The sequence below is a fragment of the Homo sapiens genome, chromosome 12 (genome assembly GCF_000001405.40).
Source record: "Homo sapiens chromosome 12, GRCh38.p14 Primary Assembly".
Lineage (NCBI taxonomy): Eukaryota > Metazoa > Chordata > Mammalia > Primates > Hominidae > Homo > Homo sapiens.
The window spans coordinates 9,960,873-9,979,071 of NC_000012.12; the positions used below are offsets into that span (position 1 = coordinate 9,960,873).

Consider the following 18,199-nt stretch of genomic DNA (forward strand, 5'->3'; position numbering starts at 1 on the left):
TTTCCCTACCTCTGCCTAATTTCTATTTTTCCCCTGTCCACGTAGCATCAAACTCTGTAAAATATTTGAAGAGATTTATTCTGAGCCAAATATGAGTGACCATGCCCGTGACACAGCCCTCAGGAGGCCCTGCGAACATGCACCCAAGGTGGTTCAGGTACACATTGGTTTTGTACATTTTAGGGAGACACGAGGCTTCAATCAACTATAAACATTTACTGATTGGCAATTGGTTGAGTTTATCTAAAGGTCTGGAATCAATAGAAAAGAAATGTCTGGGTTGTGGTAAGAGGTTGTAGAGACCAAGGTTTTATCATGCAAATGAAGCCTCCAGACAGCAGACTTGAGAGAGACTTAAGTATTAATGCCTGAGAGATATAATGAAGCGTGTTCGACACGCACTTCCTGTCATGGCCTGAACCCATCTCTCAGGTTAAATTTTCAAAGAGCTGTGGTTGAAGAGGGAGTCCATTCAGATGGTTGAGGGGCCTTAGAATTTCATTTTTGGTTTACACTCCCCACACAGCTACATTTCTGCCTGCACATAGCTACATTCCTTCCTCACTATATAACCTCCCAATTTTAGTTTGTTGGAGAACAAAGCCAGAATAAAGCCAATCCTAGTCATAGCATTGCAACTTGTATCAGATGAAAGAAACCTACAAAAAGATAATTATAAAATTTAGATAAAATGTATAAAACAACTGAGAAGGCAAAATTTGAGGGGCTCCAATTAATCAAGGTTTACCGCTTATATTCTGTGTGACTGCCAGAAAAAAAGAAACAAAACTTTTTGGTAGGAAGATCATTTAAAATTTCTGTTTTTAATACATAAGGCCTGTTATTTAATAAAAAATTATGAGACAACCTAAAAAAAAAGAATTAAATATCAAAACACCAATTGACAAGCCAAATGATAAAAACTGGCCTACATATGGTTCAGAAAATGATTTCAATAAATCTACTCTTCACCATTCTAATCCCTTTGCAGTGCCCTAGGATGGTGACTGACTCTCATGTATAATATCCCTGGACACTATTGTCCTGAAGCTCTAGGTATGTTTGTGCTAATAGGAAGAATAGGCAAAAGATTTAAAGGTGGGAGAATCCTTCCCTACAGCACTAGGAAATGGATATGGAGTTGTTCTCGCTGAGTGTACCTCCAGGGAGGCAGCCTTCATCAGCTATAGTTTCTGCTGCTTCAGTTAATTGCTACCAGCAATGTTCTCTCAGGCCTAATGTAGTAATGGCTTCCGGCAGTAGCTAGCCCTGGGGTATTTCACTATCCCTCATGGTTTCCTTTGGTCTTATCTCTATCTTGTAAATTGTCCTGTTATTTTATCTTCTTAAATTTTCCTTTTAATGTATAACCGGTTTTTTCTTTTTTTTTTTTTTTTTTGGATCCCAAGTGTGTGTTTCTTTTTGGTACCTGAGTATATCACTGTCACTGTGGTCTCTCAACTTTTAAATTATGTGACTCTGAAGGTGTGTGTCTCCAAATTTTTATCCCTGTGCACTTTTCTTCACCTGTCTTCATTTCTTTCCCTTTTTTCCGTTATAACTTTCACTCACATCCGTGTGAAGAGACCACCAAACAGGCTTTGTGTGAGCAACAAGGCTGTTTATTTCACCTGGGTGCAGGTGGGCTGAGTCCGAAAAGAGAGTCAGCGAAGGGAGATAGGGGTGGAGCTGTTTTATAAGATTTGGGTAGGTAGTGGGAAATTACAGTCAAAGGGGGCTTGTTCTCTGGCGGACAGGAGTGGGGGCCACAAGGTGCTCAGTGGGGGAGCTTTTGAGCCAGGATGAGCCAGGAGAAGGAATTTTATAATGTCATCAGTTAAGGCAGGAACAGACCATTTTCACTTCTTTTGTAGTGGAATGTCATCTGTTAAGGCAGGAACCGGCCATCTGGATGTGTATGTGCAGGTCACAGGGGATAGGATGGTTTAGCTTGGGCTCAGAGGCCTGACATTCCTGTCTCCTTATATTAATAAGAAAATAAAAATGAAATAGTGGTAAAGTGTTGGGACGGCAAAAATTTTGGGGGCTTGGTATGGAGAGATAACGGGCGATATTTCTCAGGGCTGCTTCCAGCGGGATTAGGGGCGATGTGGGAACCTAGAGTGGGAGAGATTAAGCTGAAGGAAGATTTCATGCTAAGGGGTGATATTGTGGAGTTGCTAGAAGAAACATTTGTCATTTAGAATTATTCGTGATGGCCTGGATACGGTTTTGTATGAATTGAAAAACTAAACAGAATAAGAGAAGGAGAAAAACAGGTATTAAAGGACTAAGAATTGGGAGGACCTAGGACATCTAATTAGAGAGTGTCCAAGGGGGTTCAGCATAATTACTTACTTGGTTGGCAAGTTTTTGGGCTCTATCCTTGAGTTTTTTATGTTGTCATACACCAGGCCAGATTGATTTAGGTAGAAACAACACTCTTCATTTAAGAATATACAGAGTCCTCCTTTTTCAGCAGTGACTAAGTCAAGGCCTCAGCGGTTTTGGAGGACAACTGCAGCTAAAGAGTCAACTTGGGCCTGGAGGACTGATAAAGTTTGTGATATGTCTGTGATGCTAGCAGAGAAGACACTAGAGAGGCTATGGAAGGTCGTGACAGAGGTTGAAATGCCTCCTATTCCAGTACCGAGAGCAATAGTGGAGGCAGAAAGTCTTAAACTGATAAGCAAGGGAATTAGTGGAATAACTCTTTTTTGTCGTGTCGGTGTCATGAGGGGAACAGGGAGCTCTTCGGTCCTATTTGCAAATTGAATTTTAGGAGTAAGGAAAACTAGTGTGCATGTACCTGTCCAATTAGCAGGTAGACACATGGAGGTAGAGGATCCACAGAGGAAGAAGAGACCTTGTGCGAGGCAAAACTGGAGAAGCAAAGTAAAAAGATGAGAAGGAGTGCTGAAAGGGGTGTCTTGTACCCAGACTCCTGGGGATCCAGCTAGGGCAGCAGCCATCAGAGGTTGTAATGGGGACTGGTGGGGTAACTGCGTAGAGGGGGAGGTTCGATTTTCATGGTGTATGAGAAAATGTTGAGTGTCTATGAGCTACCTTTCACTGTTATTTATGGGGCTGGGTATAAGTAAACAACAAGAGGGCTTTGGAGATGAAGAGTAAAGGAACATCAAAGTGAAAGGTTACCCAGGGGAATTCCAGTGGGTCTTTGCTGAGAGATACATAAAGGAGCAGCCACAGGAATAGTAGTTTGTGTTGTGAGAGGTAAATACGGGGGGAGTAGAGTTGATACAAGGAGAAAGGTTTTTTAAGTAAGTGTGGAGGAGGGCGGCAGCTTGCTGACGTGAAATGTCTGGGGAGGTCTAGCTGGACCTGTCTAGAAAGTAAATGAGTTCATCAGGAGGGTAAAGGTGAGGGCTGTTAAAGGAAGTTTGGAGGTGTAGGAGACAGGAGATGTTGCCTAGTCTGCATGTAAGGTGGGGACAGCTGTGTAGGCATTGGAAGAAAGGGAAATGCAAAGCTAGAGTTTGTTCGCTAAGGAGGGATTAGAAACAGCTAGGAGAGAATGAGTAATGTTTATAGTGTGGTGGAGATAGCTGGGGAGAGGTAGAGGGTGGCATAAGAATGGGAATGAGAATAAGATTGAGTATAAAAGTAAAGAATAGAACTTCATCAGGGTGAAAGTATTGGAGGGTCCCCTGCCAGCAAAGATTATCTATCCCCTCTGAGAGGGAGTTAAGAGTTGCCAGTCCTGGGTGGGGGCAAATCCTCGAGCTTGATGTGTAGGGAAAGGAGGGGGCCTGAATAATCTATGAGGAGGAGTAGAATAGTAGATGGAACAGAAGTTATTTCCTTGAGGATAGATTTCCACGATGGAAAGGAAATGAGAGGTTCTAAGAGGTGGGCTGGTGACTTGTACTATAGCATAGCCTGCCTTTGCTGGTGTGTGGCGATTAGGCCTGGTGGAACTACTATGAATAAACTAAGTGTGTTCAGGGTGAGGAACACGAAAGAAGGAAATATGAGGAAAAGGGGTGAATGTCAGGTGAATCAGAGAGATACAGTCATAGGGGTCAGGTGTGGTATCCAGAATACTGTGGGAGGCTGGATTGAAGTCTGGGCCAGGAACAATGGTAATTGTCAGAGACTTAACAAAAAGGGAGTGTAGCTGAAGGAGCCAGGGAGCAGAAAGTGTATGCGTCAGGTGGGAGAAAGAAAATAGATTTTGGAAATTATGAGAACCGTAGAGAATGAGTTGGGCATAGTTTGTGATTTTTTGGGCCTCTAAAAGTATTAAAGCAGCGGCAGCCACTGCATGCAGACATGAGGGCTAGGCTAAAATGGTAAGGTCAAGTTGTTTGGACAGAAAGGCTACAGGGTGCGGTCCCAGCTCTTGTGTAAGAATTCTGACTGCCCTAACCATGCCTAGGAAGGAAAGGAGTTGTTGTTTTGTAGAAGGGATTGGGGTTTGGGAAATTAGCCGGACATGATCAGCAGGGAGAGCACATGTGTTTTTATGAGAATTATGCTGAGATAGGTAAGAGATGAGGAAGAAATTTGGGCTTGACTGAAGTAATGGGGGCTGTCTGTGAAGCCTTGCGGCAATACAGCCTAGGTAATTTGCTGAGTCTGATGGGTGTCAGGGTCAGTCCAAGTGAAAGTGAAGAGAGGCTGGGATGACGGGTGCAAAGGAATAGTAAAGAAAGCATGTTTGAGACCCAGAACAGAATAATGGGTTGTGGAGGGAGATATTGAGGATAGGAGAGTATATGGATTTGGCACCATGGGGTGGTTAGGCAAAACAATTTGGTTGATAAGGCACAGATCCTGAACTAACCTGTAAGCCTTGTCTGGTTTTAGGACAGGTAAAATGGGGGAATTGTAAGGGGAGTTTATAGGCTTTAAAAGGCCATGCTGTAGCAGGAGAGTGATAATAGGCTGTAATCCTTTTAAAGCGTGCTGTGGGATAGGATATTGGCATTGAGCGGGGTAAGGTGATTAGGTTTTAATGGGATGGTAAGGGGTGCAGGATCAGTCGCTAAGGAGGCAGTAGAGGTGTCCTATACTTGTGGGTTAAGGTGGGGAGATACAAGGGGAGGATGTGAAGGAGGCTTTGACCTGGGGGAAAAGGTGGCAATGAGGTGTGGCTGTAGCCTAGGAATAGTTAGGGAAGCAGATAATTTAGTTAAAGTGTCTCAGCCTAATAAGGGAACTAGGCAGGTGGGGATAACTAAAAAGGAGTGCTTAAAAGAGTATTGTCTAAGTTGGCACAAGAGTTGGGGAGTTTTAAGAGGTTTAGAAGCCTGGCCATCAGTACTTACAACAGTTATGAAGGCAAGGGAAACAGGCCTTTGAAAAGAAGGTAATGTGGAGTGGGTAGCCTCCGTATTGATTAAGAAGGGGACGGGCTTACCCTCCACTGTGAGAGTTACCTAGAGTGTCTGTGATGGTCCTGTAGGCTTCTGAGGTGATTGGGCAGTGACAGTCTTCAGTTGTTAAGCCGAGAAGATCTGGGAAGGAGTCAGTCAGAGAGCCTTGGGGCAGAGTTCCAGGGGCTATGGGAGTGGCTGCCGGTGAGATGGACAGTCTGATTTCCAGTGGGGTCTTGCACAGATGGGACATGGCTTAGGAGGAATCTTGGGCTGCGGGCATTCTCTGGCCAGGTGGCCAGATTTCTGGCACTTTTAGCAAGCTCCTGGGGGAGGCAGGCCTGGAGGAATGCCTGGCCACTGTGGTTTAGGCGTTTGGAAGTTCTTGCGTGCTGGAGATGTGGCTGGGGTTTGTCTCACAGTGGAGGCAAGGAATTGCAACTCAGAAATATGTTGCTACTTTGCTGCCTCTACTTTATTATTGTACACTTTGAAGGCGAGGTTAATTAAGTCCTGTTGTGGGGTTTGAGGACTGGAATTTAATTTTTGGAGTTTTATTTAATGTCGGGAGCAGATTGGGTAATAAAATGTATATTGAGAATAAGACGGCCTTTTGACCTTTTAGGATCTAGGGCTGTAAAGCGTCTCAGGGTTGCTGCCAAACGAGCCATGAACTGGGCTGGGTTATTATATTTGATGAAAAAGAGCCTAAACGCTATCTGATTTGGGATAAAGAAAAAGGAACATTAACCTTGACTATGCCTTTAGCTCCAGCCACCTTTTTAAGAGGAAATTGCTGAACAGGTTGGGGAGGGCTAGTCATGGAATGAAACTGTAAGCTGGGCCAGGTGTGAGGAGAGGAGGTGATAAAAGGATTACAGGGTGGAGAAGTGGAGGCTGAGGAAGAATTGGGACCTAGCTCGGCCTGGTGAGGAGGCGAGAGGTCACATGGGTTTGTAGAAAAGGAAGATTAGAAAGACTCAGCGATGCTTGGGGTTGGGACTGAGGGGACAGGCGGGAGGGAAAGAAGGAAGATTTGGGATGAGTTGCATTGGGAACAGAGACTAGGGAGGGACCAATGTGTAAAAGAATGCCTGGACGTCAGGCACCTCAGACCGTTTGCCTATTTTACAACAAGAATTATTTAGATCTTGTAGGATGGAAAAATGGAAAGTGACATTTTCTGGCTATGTGGAACTACTGTCGAGTTTGTATTGGGGTCAAGTGGCATTGCAGAAGAAAATAAGGCATTTAGGTTTTAGGTCAGCTGTGAATTGAAGAGGTTTTAGGTTTTTAAGAGCACAGGCTAAGGGAGAAGAAGGGGGAATGGAGGGCGGAAGCTTGCCCATAGTGAAGGAGGCAAGCCCAGAGAGAAGAGAGAGTAGAGACATGGAGAGAAGGGGTTGGGGGTTCTTGCCCCCAAGAAGAGCGGTACTTGCCGCTAAGGGTGAAGGAGAAGGGGTTGGGGGGTTCTTGCCCCCCAGAAAAGCGGAGAAGGGGTAGAGACATGGAGAAAAGCGGTGGGGTTCTTGCCCCCCAGAAAAGCAGAGAAGGAGTAGAGACACGGAGAGAAGGGGTTGGGGGTTCTTGCTCCCAAGAAAAGCAGTACTTGTCGCTAAGGGTGAAGGACCAAGGCAGGTGTCCCCACATGGTCAGACACCTCTGAAACATGGGTGAATAATCAGGCAGGCATCCCTGCCTGATTCCAAAGGGAAGACTGTCTTCCCAATTCCGTGACTGGTGCCGGAGTTTTGGGTCTATGAATAAAACGCGTCTCCTTCATCTCTGTCAGAAAAGGAAAGGAACTGAAATTAAGAGAGAGATTGAAGGGTGATGCCAAGATTGAAAGGAGAAAGAGGTTGAGGGATAGTGAGAGAGGTTGGAGAAGAGAGTAAAAAGAGGCCACTTACTGGATTTAAAATTGGTGAGATGTTCCTTGGGCTAGTTGGTCTGAGGACCAGAGGTCATAGGTGGATCTTTCTCATGGAATAAAGAGCAGGAGGACAGGGGATTGATCTCCCAAGGGAGGTCCCCTGATCCGAGTCACAGCACCAAATTTCACTCGCATCCGTGTGAAGAGACCACAAAACAGGCTTTGTGTGAGCAACAAGGCTGTTTATTTCACCTGGGTGCAGGTGGGCTGAGTCTGCAAAGAGAGTCAGCGAAGGGAGATGGGGTGGGGCTGTTTTATAAGATTTGGGTAGGTAAAGGAAAATTACATCAAAGGGGGGTTGTTCTCTGGCGGGCAGGAGTGGGGGTAACAAGGTGCTCAATAGGGGAGCTTTTGAGCCAAGATGAGCCAGGAGAAGGAATTTCAGAAGATAATGTCATCAGTTAAGGCAGGAACAGGCCATTTTCACTTCTTTTGTGGTGGAATGTCATCAGTTAACGCAGGAACCGGCCATCTGGATGTGTACATGCAGGTCATAGGCATATACACAGGCATATGATGGCTTAGCTTGGGCTCAGAGGCCTGACAATAACAACCCACAAAAAATATATAATTTAGGTAATGGATAATGTATCACTTATGTTTAATATTGGAAGACATCTGTAATTATATTTGCAGATTGTCTCTTAGTATTCAACTAGAATGAAAATTGATATAGGTTGATTTCATATCTTGTCTATTGCAAATAGTGCTGCAATAAACATGGGAGTGCAGGTATCTATAGTATATATACACAATGGAATATTATTTGGCCATAGAAGGAAATGAAATCCTGTCATTTGCAGAAACAGGAGTGGAACTGAAGGTCATTATGTTAACTGAAATAAGCCAGGCACAGAAAGACAAATATCACATGTTTCCACTCATATGTGAGAGCTAAAAGAATGAATCTCATGGAAGCAGAGAGTAGAATTGTGGTTACCAGAGGCTTAGAAAGGGGTGGTGGGGGATAAAGATAAGTTGGTTGGGTACAAAAATAAAATTAGATAGAAGGAACAAATTCTAGTATTTGATAGTACAGTGGGAAAACTATAGTTGACAATAATTTATTGTATATTTCAAAATAGCTAAAAGAGAAGAAATGTACTATTCCCAACAGAAGGAAAAGGTAAGTGTTTGACGGAATGAATATTCTTATTACCCTGATTTGGTCATTACACATTGTATACAGGTTTCAAAATATCACATGTACCTCCAAAATACATACAACTATTTTGTATCAATAACAAAATTTTTAAAAAACTGATATAGGCTGTGAAGGGCAAACCATGTAGTCATCTCAGAGCTCAGCTTATTCTTGTGGATATAAATGTTTTAGCTGGCTCTAAACCAAGGATTTTGTATGAAGTAATACTTATTCAAATATTTTCAACAAAATAGAGTACCTTGCAAACAGGACTTTGAGATTTTTCATTTGTTTCCCTTTACAGTTCGTCATATACGCTTCATCTTCTAGTGTTGATTGATGAAACAACGTTCCACATGAGACAGCAGAGCAATAGAACACAGAACAGGACTCTGCCTGTGTGGTGGCCGGTTTCCATCCTTTCACAAACAAAGAGATATTTATAAACAAATATTTATATGCAAATATTTGATCCACCTAGGAAAAATAGAGGGCTACTCTTTCCCACCAGGAGAGGCCTTATAGCCTGTGCACATATTTGAACAAGGCAACCAGAGACTTTGATGGTCTCAACTCTACCACTCACCAACTGTGTGATGTTGGATACAAACTTAACCACTTTGCAACTCACTTCCGCATCTGTAAAATAAGGGTGATAATAATAGCACCTGGTTTAGAGAGTTGTAAAGATAAAAGCAACATTAGTAAAGTACTTAGGATGAAGTAATCATGTTTTGAATATATTTTCCTTTAAATGTGGCTGCCAATATTTTCATGGTAATATTTTCAAATGTATTCAATAGCTTTTTCTTTATCAGGAGAAAATCAGTTGTTTTAATTAAATTGACATTGAATTTTTGATACATTTAGGAGAATTTAGTTTCTTTTTATACAGTATTGACGCTTCTAATCCCACAGCATGTTTTTCTATTTTTTTCTTTTCTTCAATAGTTTTAAAATTTTTTTGTTCATTTTGGTTATGCAAATATCTAGTTAATTTCTATCTGTAATATTTTCCTATTTATTTTTAGTAGCTCTTATAAAGGGAGCATTTTGTTTTTCCTGTCTATCCTGACATAATAAAGCAATTAGTTTTTAATTGATTTTTAAAAATATTTATGCATTCTCTTTCATATGTATAATAATAATACCTAACCATTTTATGATTTACATGTGGCAATGTCAAGAAGAATTTTAAAGTAAGATTTACTAACGAATATTAGAGAACATGCTCAAAAACAGTCCTCTCCACCCCCTCACTTCCACTTGCATTCTTGATCAAGAAGTGAAATAAAAAATACTAAGACTATTGAGTCAAACTAATAAGACACAAATCTGGACTTTGGAGACTCATTTCCCTCCCACTTTTGATAGCTTAGCTGAGGAGGAGATCAAATGGTTGAGTCAGTCTGTAGAGAGATAGCAAGGCTGATTATAGTTTTCCTGGCCTGCAAAGCTGTTTCCAGAGCCCTCAGTATACAGACCTTGGCCATCAGTATGCATACTCTCTGGTGTGGTTTCTGGGCATCAGATCCCTTAATATATAGGTTGGCGCTAAAGTAATTTTGTAAACTTTTAATGGCAAAAACCACAATTACTTTTGCTTTTAATGGCAAAAACCAGAATTACTTTAGCACCAACCTATATATTGTTATTTAGAGAAACTAGGCATTCCCTACCTCTCTTAGGCAAACCTATAGCTATGTAACATGGCAACGGAATGACACTAACTGTCTCATTCTCCTTGGGAGTGCTCTCTGTATGTTCAGTCTCCCAGTGAAGAGAACCCTTCTATCAGGACCTTCATCATCATACAAAAGGAATATCTATGCCAGGCCACAGCTGCAGATTAGTGAGTGTCTGAGAACTGCATCTTTTCTGTTATTTTTCTGCTTGAAAGTTTTTCACCAATAAATCCTACACTATGTCTGCACCATGTGGTGCTAGTTATTTGTGTTCTCTTGCATGACACTGATGATGTTATCCAAACACAATTTCAAAAACTACTTTCTGTAGTTGGTAAATATATAGAAATTGAGAAAAAGGAAGAAATATGAGGAAGAAAGATGTTATCTGTTGCAACAGTTCAATGTTCTTAACTGAAGCCACAGATGAGATTTGGCTCATTTGCAGACATATGGGTGATTGGTACAGTAGGTTTATAAACAGAAGTTTAAACTTGTAAGCTTAAGCTTCCGTTTATAAACAGAAGTTTAAAATTATAGGTCCTGTTTAACATTCAGCTCTGTTAACTCACTCATCTTTTTGTGTTTTTACACTTTGTCAAGATTTCTTTACATATTCATCAATGTCTGAAGAAGTTACTTATGCAGATCTTCAATTCCAGAACTCCAGTGAGATGGAAAAAATCCCAGAAATTGGCAAATTTGGGGAAAAAGGTAAGATTTTGAGTTATGGATGTGTTGTAAGTTTGTATAATAGAAGTGGTTATAGACTTGCATCTTCAATATTAGTGATATAGTTACTATTCAACTTAAATTTTCAATTAAGTCTCTTATGTTTAAGCAAAGGAACAAAAAGTGTATGAACAAAATGATTAGAAAAAAGGGTTTTGTAAAAACACTTATCTCTGCATTGAATAATCAATCTTTTACATTTTTGAAATTTTTTATTATCACACTCAATATAATTGGGACAGAATTTTTCAAATGATTGGGTTGTATGAAGATTTTATTTCTTTATGAGATGAAGCCATGGAAAAAGAAACATGTTCAGGAAAGTCATGATTTCATATGTGTGTGTGTGTGTGTGTTTTTTTTTTTATAAGAAAATGCTTTGTGTCAGACAGAGAGACCTTTATAGGATTTCATTTGACTATCTACCAAACTAAGCATAAATCACCCTAAAATTTCTCCTACTTCTTTTGGAGATTTTTTACTAACTTACTAAAAAATAAAACATGTTAAGTTAAATGAAATGAATCATTAAGGAATAAAGGAAGAAAAGAGGTAAAGAAATATCAGAAGACATAATATATTCATAATATTCAAAACCACATTATATCAAGTAACTTTGTATTTTTCAATTCAAATTAAAATCATGAAATAAGTGGTCCATCTGTGTTGACTTTCACTTAAACAAAACTACTCTTCATCTTACTCAGAATCCTATAGTTTTCCTATTATGTATGGTTCTTGCCTTCTGGCTCCTAGCCTTTTGGGAGTGAAATCTGCCCTAGCGAATCCATAGTTTAAATCAGTGTATTTGAGTTAAAAATAACTTAAACAGTGATAGTGGAGAACACAAAGAAGGGTGATAGAAACAGAAAAATAAGGAGAGAAGAGTGCCAAAATTCTCACATATTATTTAAGTTGTTGTCCTCTCTCCTCTCCCCACACAGAATATAACATCTTTAATATTCTAGCATTGCTATAAACAGAAATTTCACTGTTACATCTTGGATCCATTTATGATGAGCATTGTAAATCTTGAGAAAGGATAGCAGATTAATTCTGTTGGCTTCTTTTTTAATACTGAAATTTTTTTTTAGAAAGAAGAAGGGTTTAAGAATTTTACAATATTTTCTGTCTTTATTTCCTTGTTTATATTTCTTCTTTTATACACTGAAAGAGAATGGGCATATCATGAGCCTAATATTACCAACAATTGCCCTTTACTTGTCCTCTCACACCCTTTCCCACCTCTTTTCCTGCCAATCCACCTTAAGTTCCCACCACAAGAATTCCCTGAATTCACGGAAATATTGAATCCATGTCTTCTTCATGTTCTTAATCTCATCTAATTTTCTCATTATCGAGCTTAGAATCTACATTATGTAATATAACATTGTATTATGTAATGTCTACTCTTAGTCTCTTACACTTCTCCTCTTCAATGTGTGTTAATTTTTCCTTAAAAACTCCAGCTCTGGCTAGGTGCAGTGGCTCATACCCATAGTCCTAGCACTTTGAGAGGCCAAGATGGGAGGATTATTTGAGGCCAGAAGTTTGAGACCAGCCTGGGGAAAGTAGAGATATGCCATGTCTATAAAAAAAAAATTTTTTTAATTAACTGGGCACCCATAGTCTCAGCTGCTTGGGAGGCTGAGGAAAGAGGATTACTTGAGTCCAGGAGTTGGAGGCTCTAGTAAGCTAAGATCAGGCGAGTGTACTCCAGTCTGGGTGACACAGCAAGATCCTGCCTCAAACAAATCAAAACAAAACAAGACAAAAACCCCAAAAACAAACAAATAAAAACAACTCCAGTTCTGGTTAAACCCGAATATCCACCCAGTCTGCCCCAGAGTTGAATATTGCTGGTGAAAAATACACAAATTTTCAACCCCAGTTACTCTCACCTTTCCTCTGGTAAGAAAAAAGCATCCATCTACACTTTTTTTTGTTGTTATTTAAATGTCTATCCTACCATGTCCTTACTGATACTCTGCTTTCCTTCCAGATAGTATTTACGATAAGTATGTACTTATGAAGGGACGGCTCCTCATTTTGCTCTGAATTTCAGTCCATGTGTCGTTTTCAAAGACAGACTTCCGTAATTTTTTCCTTTCTCTCCTGTGTCATTATTCTCTCTTCCTTCTCTGCTTTTCCTTTTTGGTGCACCAACATACTCTACTACTCACCAATATACTCTGCTACTCCTTTTATAACAAAACACAATCCTTGCTTGACCACTTAAGCCTTTCCATTATTATTTAACTTCTTTGTTTCCTTTCACAACTCAACTTTTGAAAGCATTTTCTTTGGCCACTGACTCTCAGTTCTTCACCTCTCATTCTGTTCTCAACCAACTCTATTAGGCTTCTGCCCCCTTGGTGCCATAGAGACTGAGCTTTAGGTCACTGATGTCCTGCCTGTTTCATCCCAATAGTCACATGTCTCTTCCATTACTTCACTTCCCTGCAGCATTGAAAAAGTTGAACAGTCCTCTAAATGCTTTCTTTGCACATCCCTCCTGACACATCCTCATGGCTTCTCCTGTCACCATGCCTGCCTCTCCTCATTCTTTGTTGATTCCTCCTCCTAGATGAAACTCTACAAGATGGAATACTCTGAAGCCCTGTCCTGGGTCCCGTTTTATTGCATCACTCAGTACACTCTTCTAATCTACCTCATTCAGTTGTTTGACTTTAAATAGAGTGACTCCCCAATATCTCTGTATGACCTTTCCCTGAATCTCAAGACTAGAAAATACATGTGCCACTTTCACATTTCCATAAGGAGTTCTAATCTCATTTTAAACTTAAAATGTCAAAAATAGTAATATTTATTTTTCTTCTAAAATTGTCTCTCTCTCCAGACAGCCTCATCTCATTAAATACACATATAAATATATATTTAAATACAATTTTCAAGTGTTTTCTCTGTGCCAGTTCTGTTCTAATTGCATTATAAATATTAAATTATTTAGTGTCTGATACTTTGCAGTCTTTCTGTCTCCCATGCTTTAACCATATTGAAACTCAGACACAGAGATGTTAAAAGGTGTTAAATAATTTTCCCGAGGTTTCACAAGCAATAAGCAGCAGAACCAGAATTCAAACCAAAACATACTGATATGGTTTGACTGTGTCTCCACCCAAATCTCATCTTGAATTGTAGCTCCCATAAGTCCCACATGCTGTAGGAGGGACATGGTGGGAGGTAATTGAATCATGGGAGCGGGTTTTTCCCATGCTGTTCTTGTGATAGTGAATAAGTCTCATGAGATCTGATGGTTTTATAAAGAGGAGTTTTCCTGCACAAGTTCTCTCTTGTCTGTGGCCATGTGAGATGTGCCTTTCACCTTCCACCATGAGTGTGAGGCCTCTCCAGCCACATGGAACCATGAGTCCATTAAACCTCTTTTTACTTATAAATTACCCAGTTGTGGGTATGTCTTTATCAGTCGTGTGAAAATGAACTAATGCAGTAAATTGGTACCAATAGAGTAGGGCGCTGCTGTAAAGATACCCAAAAATCTGAAAGAGACTTTGGGACTGGGCAACAGGCAGAGGTTGGAATACTTTGGAGGGCTCAGAAGAAGACAGAAAAATGTGGGACAGTTTGGCACTTCCTAGAGACTTCTTGAATGGCTTTGACAAAAATGGTGATAAGGCTGAGGTGGTCTCAGATGGAGATGAGGAATTTGTTGGGAACGGGAGCAAAGGTGACTCTTGTTATGTTTTAGCAAAGTGACTGGTAGCATTTTGCTCCTGCCCTAGAAATTTGTGGAACATTGAACTTGAGAGGGATGATTTAGGATATCTGGCAGAAGAAATTTCTAAGCAGCAAAGCATTAAAGACGTGACTCGGGTGCTGTTAAAAGCATTCAGTTTTATAAGGGAAGCAGAGCATAAAAGTTCAGAAAATTTGTGGCTTGACAATGATAAATAAAAGAAAATCCCATTTTCTGAGGAGAAATTCAAGCCAGCTGAAGAAATTTCTAAAGTCATGGGAAGCCAAATGATAATCGCCAAGGCAATGGGGAAAATGACTCCAGGGCATATCAGAGGTCTTCCCAGCAGCCCCTCCCATCACATGCCCAGAGGCCTAGGAGGAATAAATGGTATTATGGACTGAGCCCAGGGTCCCTCTGCTGTGTGCAGTCTAGGAACTTGGTGCCCTGCATCCCAGCTGCTCCAGCCATGACTAAAAGAGGCTAAGGTACAGCTCAGGTCATGGCTTCGGAGAGGGTGCAAACCCCAAGCCTTGGTAGCTTCCATGTGGTGTTGAGCCTTTGAGTGCACAGAAGTCAAGAGTTGGGTTTTGGGAACCTCTGTCTAGATTTCAGAGGATGTATGGAAATGCCTGGATGTCCAGGCAGAAGTTTGCTGCAGGCATGGGGTGCTCATGGATAACCTCTGCTAGGACAGTGCAGAAGGGAAATGTGAGGTCAGAAGCTCCACACAGAGTCCCCACTGGGGTACTGTCCAGTGGAGCAGTGAGAAGTGGACCACCGTCCTCCAGCTCTCAGAATGGTAGATCCACTGACAGCATGCACTGTCCACTTGGAAAAGCTGCAGACACTCAATATCAGCCCATGAAAGCAGCCATGAGGGAGACTGTACCTTGCAAAGCCACAGGAGCAGAGCTGCCCAAAGACATGGGAGCCTACCTCTTGCATCAGCATGACCTGGATGTGAGATATAGAGCCAAAGGAGATGATTTTGGAGCTTTAAGATTTGGTGCCCTTTGGACTTGCATGGGGCCTGTAGCCCCTTTGTTTTGGCCAATTTCTCCCATTTGGAATGACCGTATTTATCCAATGCCTGTACTCTCATTGTATCTAGGAAGTAACTAACTTTCTTTTGAATTTACTGGCTCATAGGTGGAAGGGACTTGCCTTGTCTCAGATGGACTGTGGACTTTTGAGTTAATGATGAAATGAGTTAAGTCTTTTGGGGACTGTTGGGAAGGCATGATTGGTTTTGAAATGTGAGACATGAGATTTGGGAGAGGTCAGGGTGGAATGATATGGTTTGGCTGTGTCCACACCCAAATCTCATCTTGAATTATAGCTCCCACAATTTCCACGTGTTGTTGGAGGGACCTCGTGGGAGGTAATTGAATCATATGGTAGGGGTGTTTCTCGTGCTGTTCCTGTGATAGTGAATAAGTGTCATGAGATCTGATGGTTTTATAAAGGGGAGTTTCCCTGCACAAGTTCTTTCTTCTCTTGTCTGCTGCCATATGAGGTGTGCCTTTCACCTTCCACCATGATTGTGAGGCCTCCCCAGCCGCGTGAAACTGTGAATCCATTAAACCTCTCTTTCCTTATAAATTGCCCAGTCTTGGGTATGTCTTATTAGCAATGTGAAAATGGACTAATACACATGCTAACCCTAAAGATGGTGTTTTGCTTTTTATCACTATGAGATACTGCCTACAAATGTGCATATCTACCAACTTTCTCTAAAGAAAAATTTCAGAAATTTTTGCAATAGATTTTAGCTTAGAAATGTATACTTAATTTATCCATGGGTCATCAAATTCCCTAGTACTAGCTAGTCAAACTTCTGTTCTCTTTCACATGTCATACTGTAACAGATTTCTTACTGATAAAACAACTCTGTTATTTTGCCCTCCTAGATTAAATTCTTCCAGTGGTTTCCCCAAAAATCTAACTTATTCTGGCTAGAAAAGGCTGTAAATAATGTCTCCTCCTTGTTATTTTAAAAACAAAACAAAAGAAAACAAATAAAACCTTTAACATCATTTTTCACATTGGCCACAATTCTTCTGCCCCTCTGAATATATTCTGTTTTTCAAATAGAAATCTTTTCCTTAAATTATTGTCTTTGAACTTCATGTAATTGCTACCTGTAATGTTCTTCCTACTTATTTTGCATGCTGGTTCCTATTCATAAGATTTGAACTGCCTGCTCTCTATAACAGCTTAGTTTTAAATCTCTGCACAACATCGCCAAATTTGAGATCTTTTCTCCCTTTCTTTCTTTCTCCCTGTCTCACTTATATATCTATTTATCTATTTCCTCCTACAATTAAAATTTATAGCTGTGAAAACAGGAACTTGTACATCTTGCTCACTTTGATATTGTTAGCACCCAGGATAATGTCTAATAAATACAAGGCACTCAAAAGATAACTTTTGAATAATTGAACTTTTTAATAATTGAATAAGTTCATTGAATAAATAAACTTGAATAATTGAATACACATATAAATAAGAAAATAATTTTAAGAAAGATAGCACTGGCATTTATAATTCTAATCTTAGATAAAATCTTGAACATGTAGTTCTTTCAGTAGTAACTATTTTCTAAAGTCTATATAAGTTAAGTTTTACTATTTATTAGTAATTGTCTCTGGATTTCACAATATTATTGCACCATCAACTATGAGATGTAAGACATAGCTCAGAAGTATAGTGAGATTATTATGGTATCCCTGAATTGGATTTTCTTGAAATATCTAGCTAGTCTTTACCTAATGTATAATAGCTTTATACATAATGATGATTTAAATAACATAGTCACAATAATAATTCACTCACAAAGTTTATAATTCCTGTTTTTTTTTTAAATAGAGAAATGATCTATTCTGGGCTTCACTATTCATTAAAAAGGAAGTATTCAATAAAAGTTTCTTGCAAAAACACATGAAAATTTTTTTGAAAAATTGCAATAAAAATGGTGTAGATCTGGACTGATTAAGATCAAAAGCTAACGGGAGGACACCCAAAGACATTATGAAAAGACAGCCTATCTTGTTCATTCTGCAGCTAAATTCTCATAATTGCCTGGGGGGATACATAAACAACTGAAACTGTTTTTCTTGACATGCCACAATTGTCTACTCAAGCAAAGACTTCTCCTATTGGCTTCTCTGTTAATTTCCAGCTACTCACTTTTCCCAAATTTGTACAAACAAAATACACTATATCTAGGTTGACTGGTTTTCTCCATTCTCTATTATAAATTCTGTTTTTGCTTATCTGTTTTTTTAAATCAGTCTACCAGTTAACAGCTTCTCCTGCCAGAATCAATTTACATACAAAACAATTAAGTGATTTTGATTTATTCTTGACATATTCTTCAAAAATATTTTTTGAATATTCTTGAATGGCTAGCAAATCCATTTCTTTCCAATAGGCATATTAGGAAATAAAGGTAAAATGAATGAATGAATGAATGAGTAAATAATCCAAATGAAAGTTATACCATTTTTAGGCCTCTCTGTTAATTTTGCTTTCCACAGCACCTCCAGCTCCCTCTCATGTATGGCGTCCAGCAGCCTTGTTTCTGACTCTTCTGTGCCTTCTGTTGCTCATTGGATTGGGAGTCTTGGCAAGCATGTGTATGTA

General features: G+C 40.0%; 1 protein-coding gene across 16 annotated transcripts in view; it reads left to right on the forward strand.

Moving 5' to 3' along the window:
* The window catches only part of CLEC12A (C-type lectin domain family 12 member A), a 54,883-nt gene that overhangs the window by 9,605 nt on the left and 27,079 nt on the right, over window positions 1-18,199 (forward strand). For 4 of the 16 annotated variants that reach the window (XM_047428399.1, XM_047428400.1, NM_001207010.2 and 1 more), the window contains exons 2-3: window positions 10,705-10,815; window positions 18,094-18,192. In XM_047428399.1, the coding sequence (XP_047284355.1) occupies window positions 10,705-10,815; window positions 18,094-18,192 (210 nt within the window). Of the gene's footprint in view, window positions 1-4,465; window positions 4,508-8,357; window positions 8,399-10,536; window positions 10,816-18,093; window positions 18,193-18,199 lie in introns of those variants that run through there. The other 12 variants (XM_047428402.1, NM_138337.6, NM_001300730.2 and 9 more) reach the window with 9 other exon arrangements.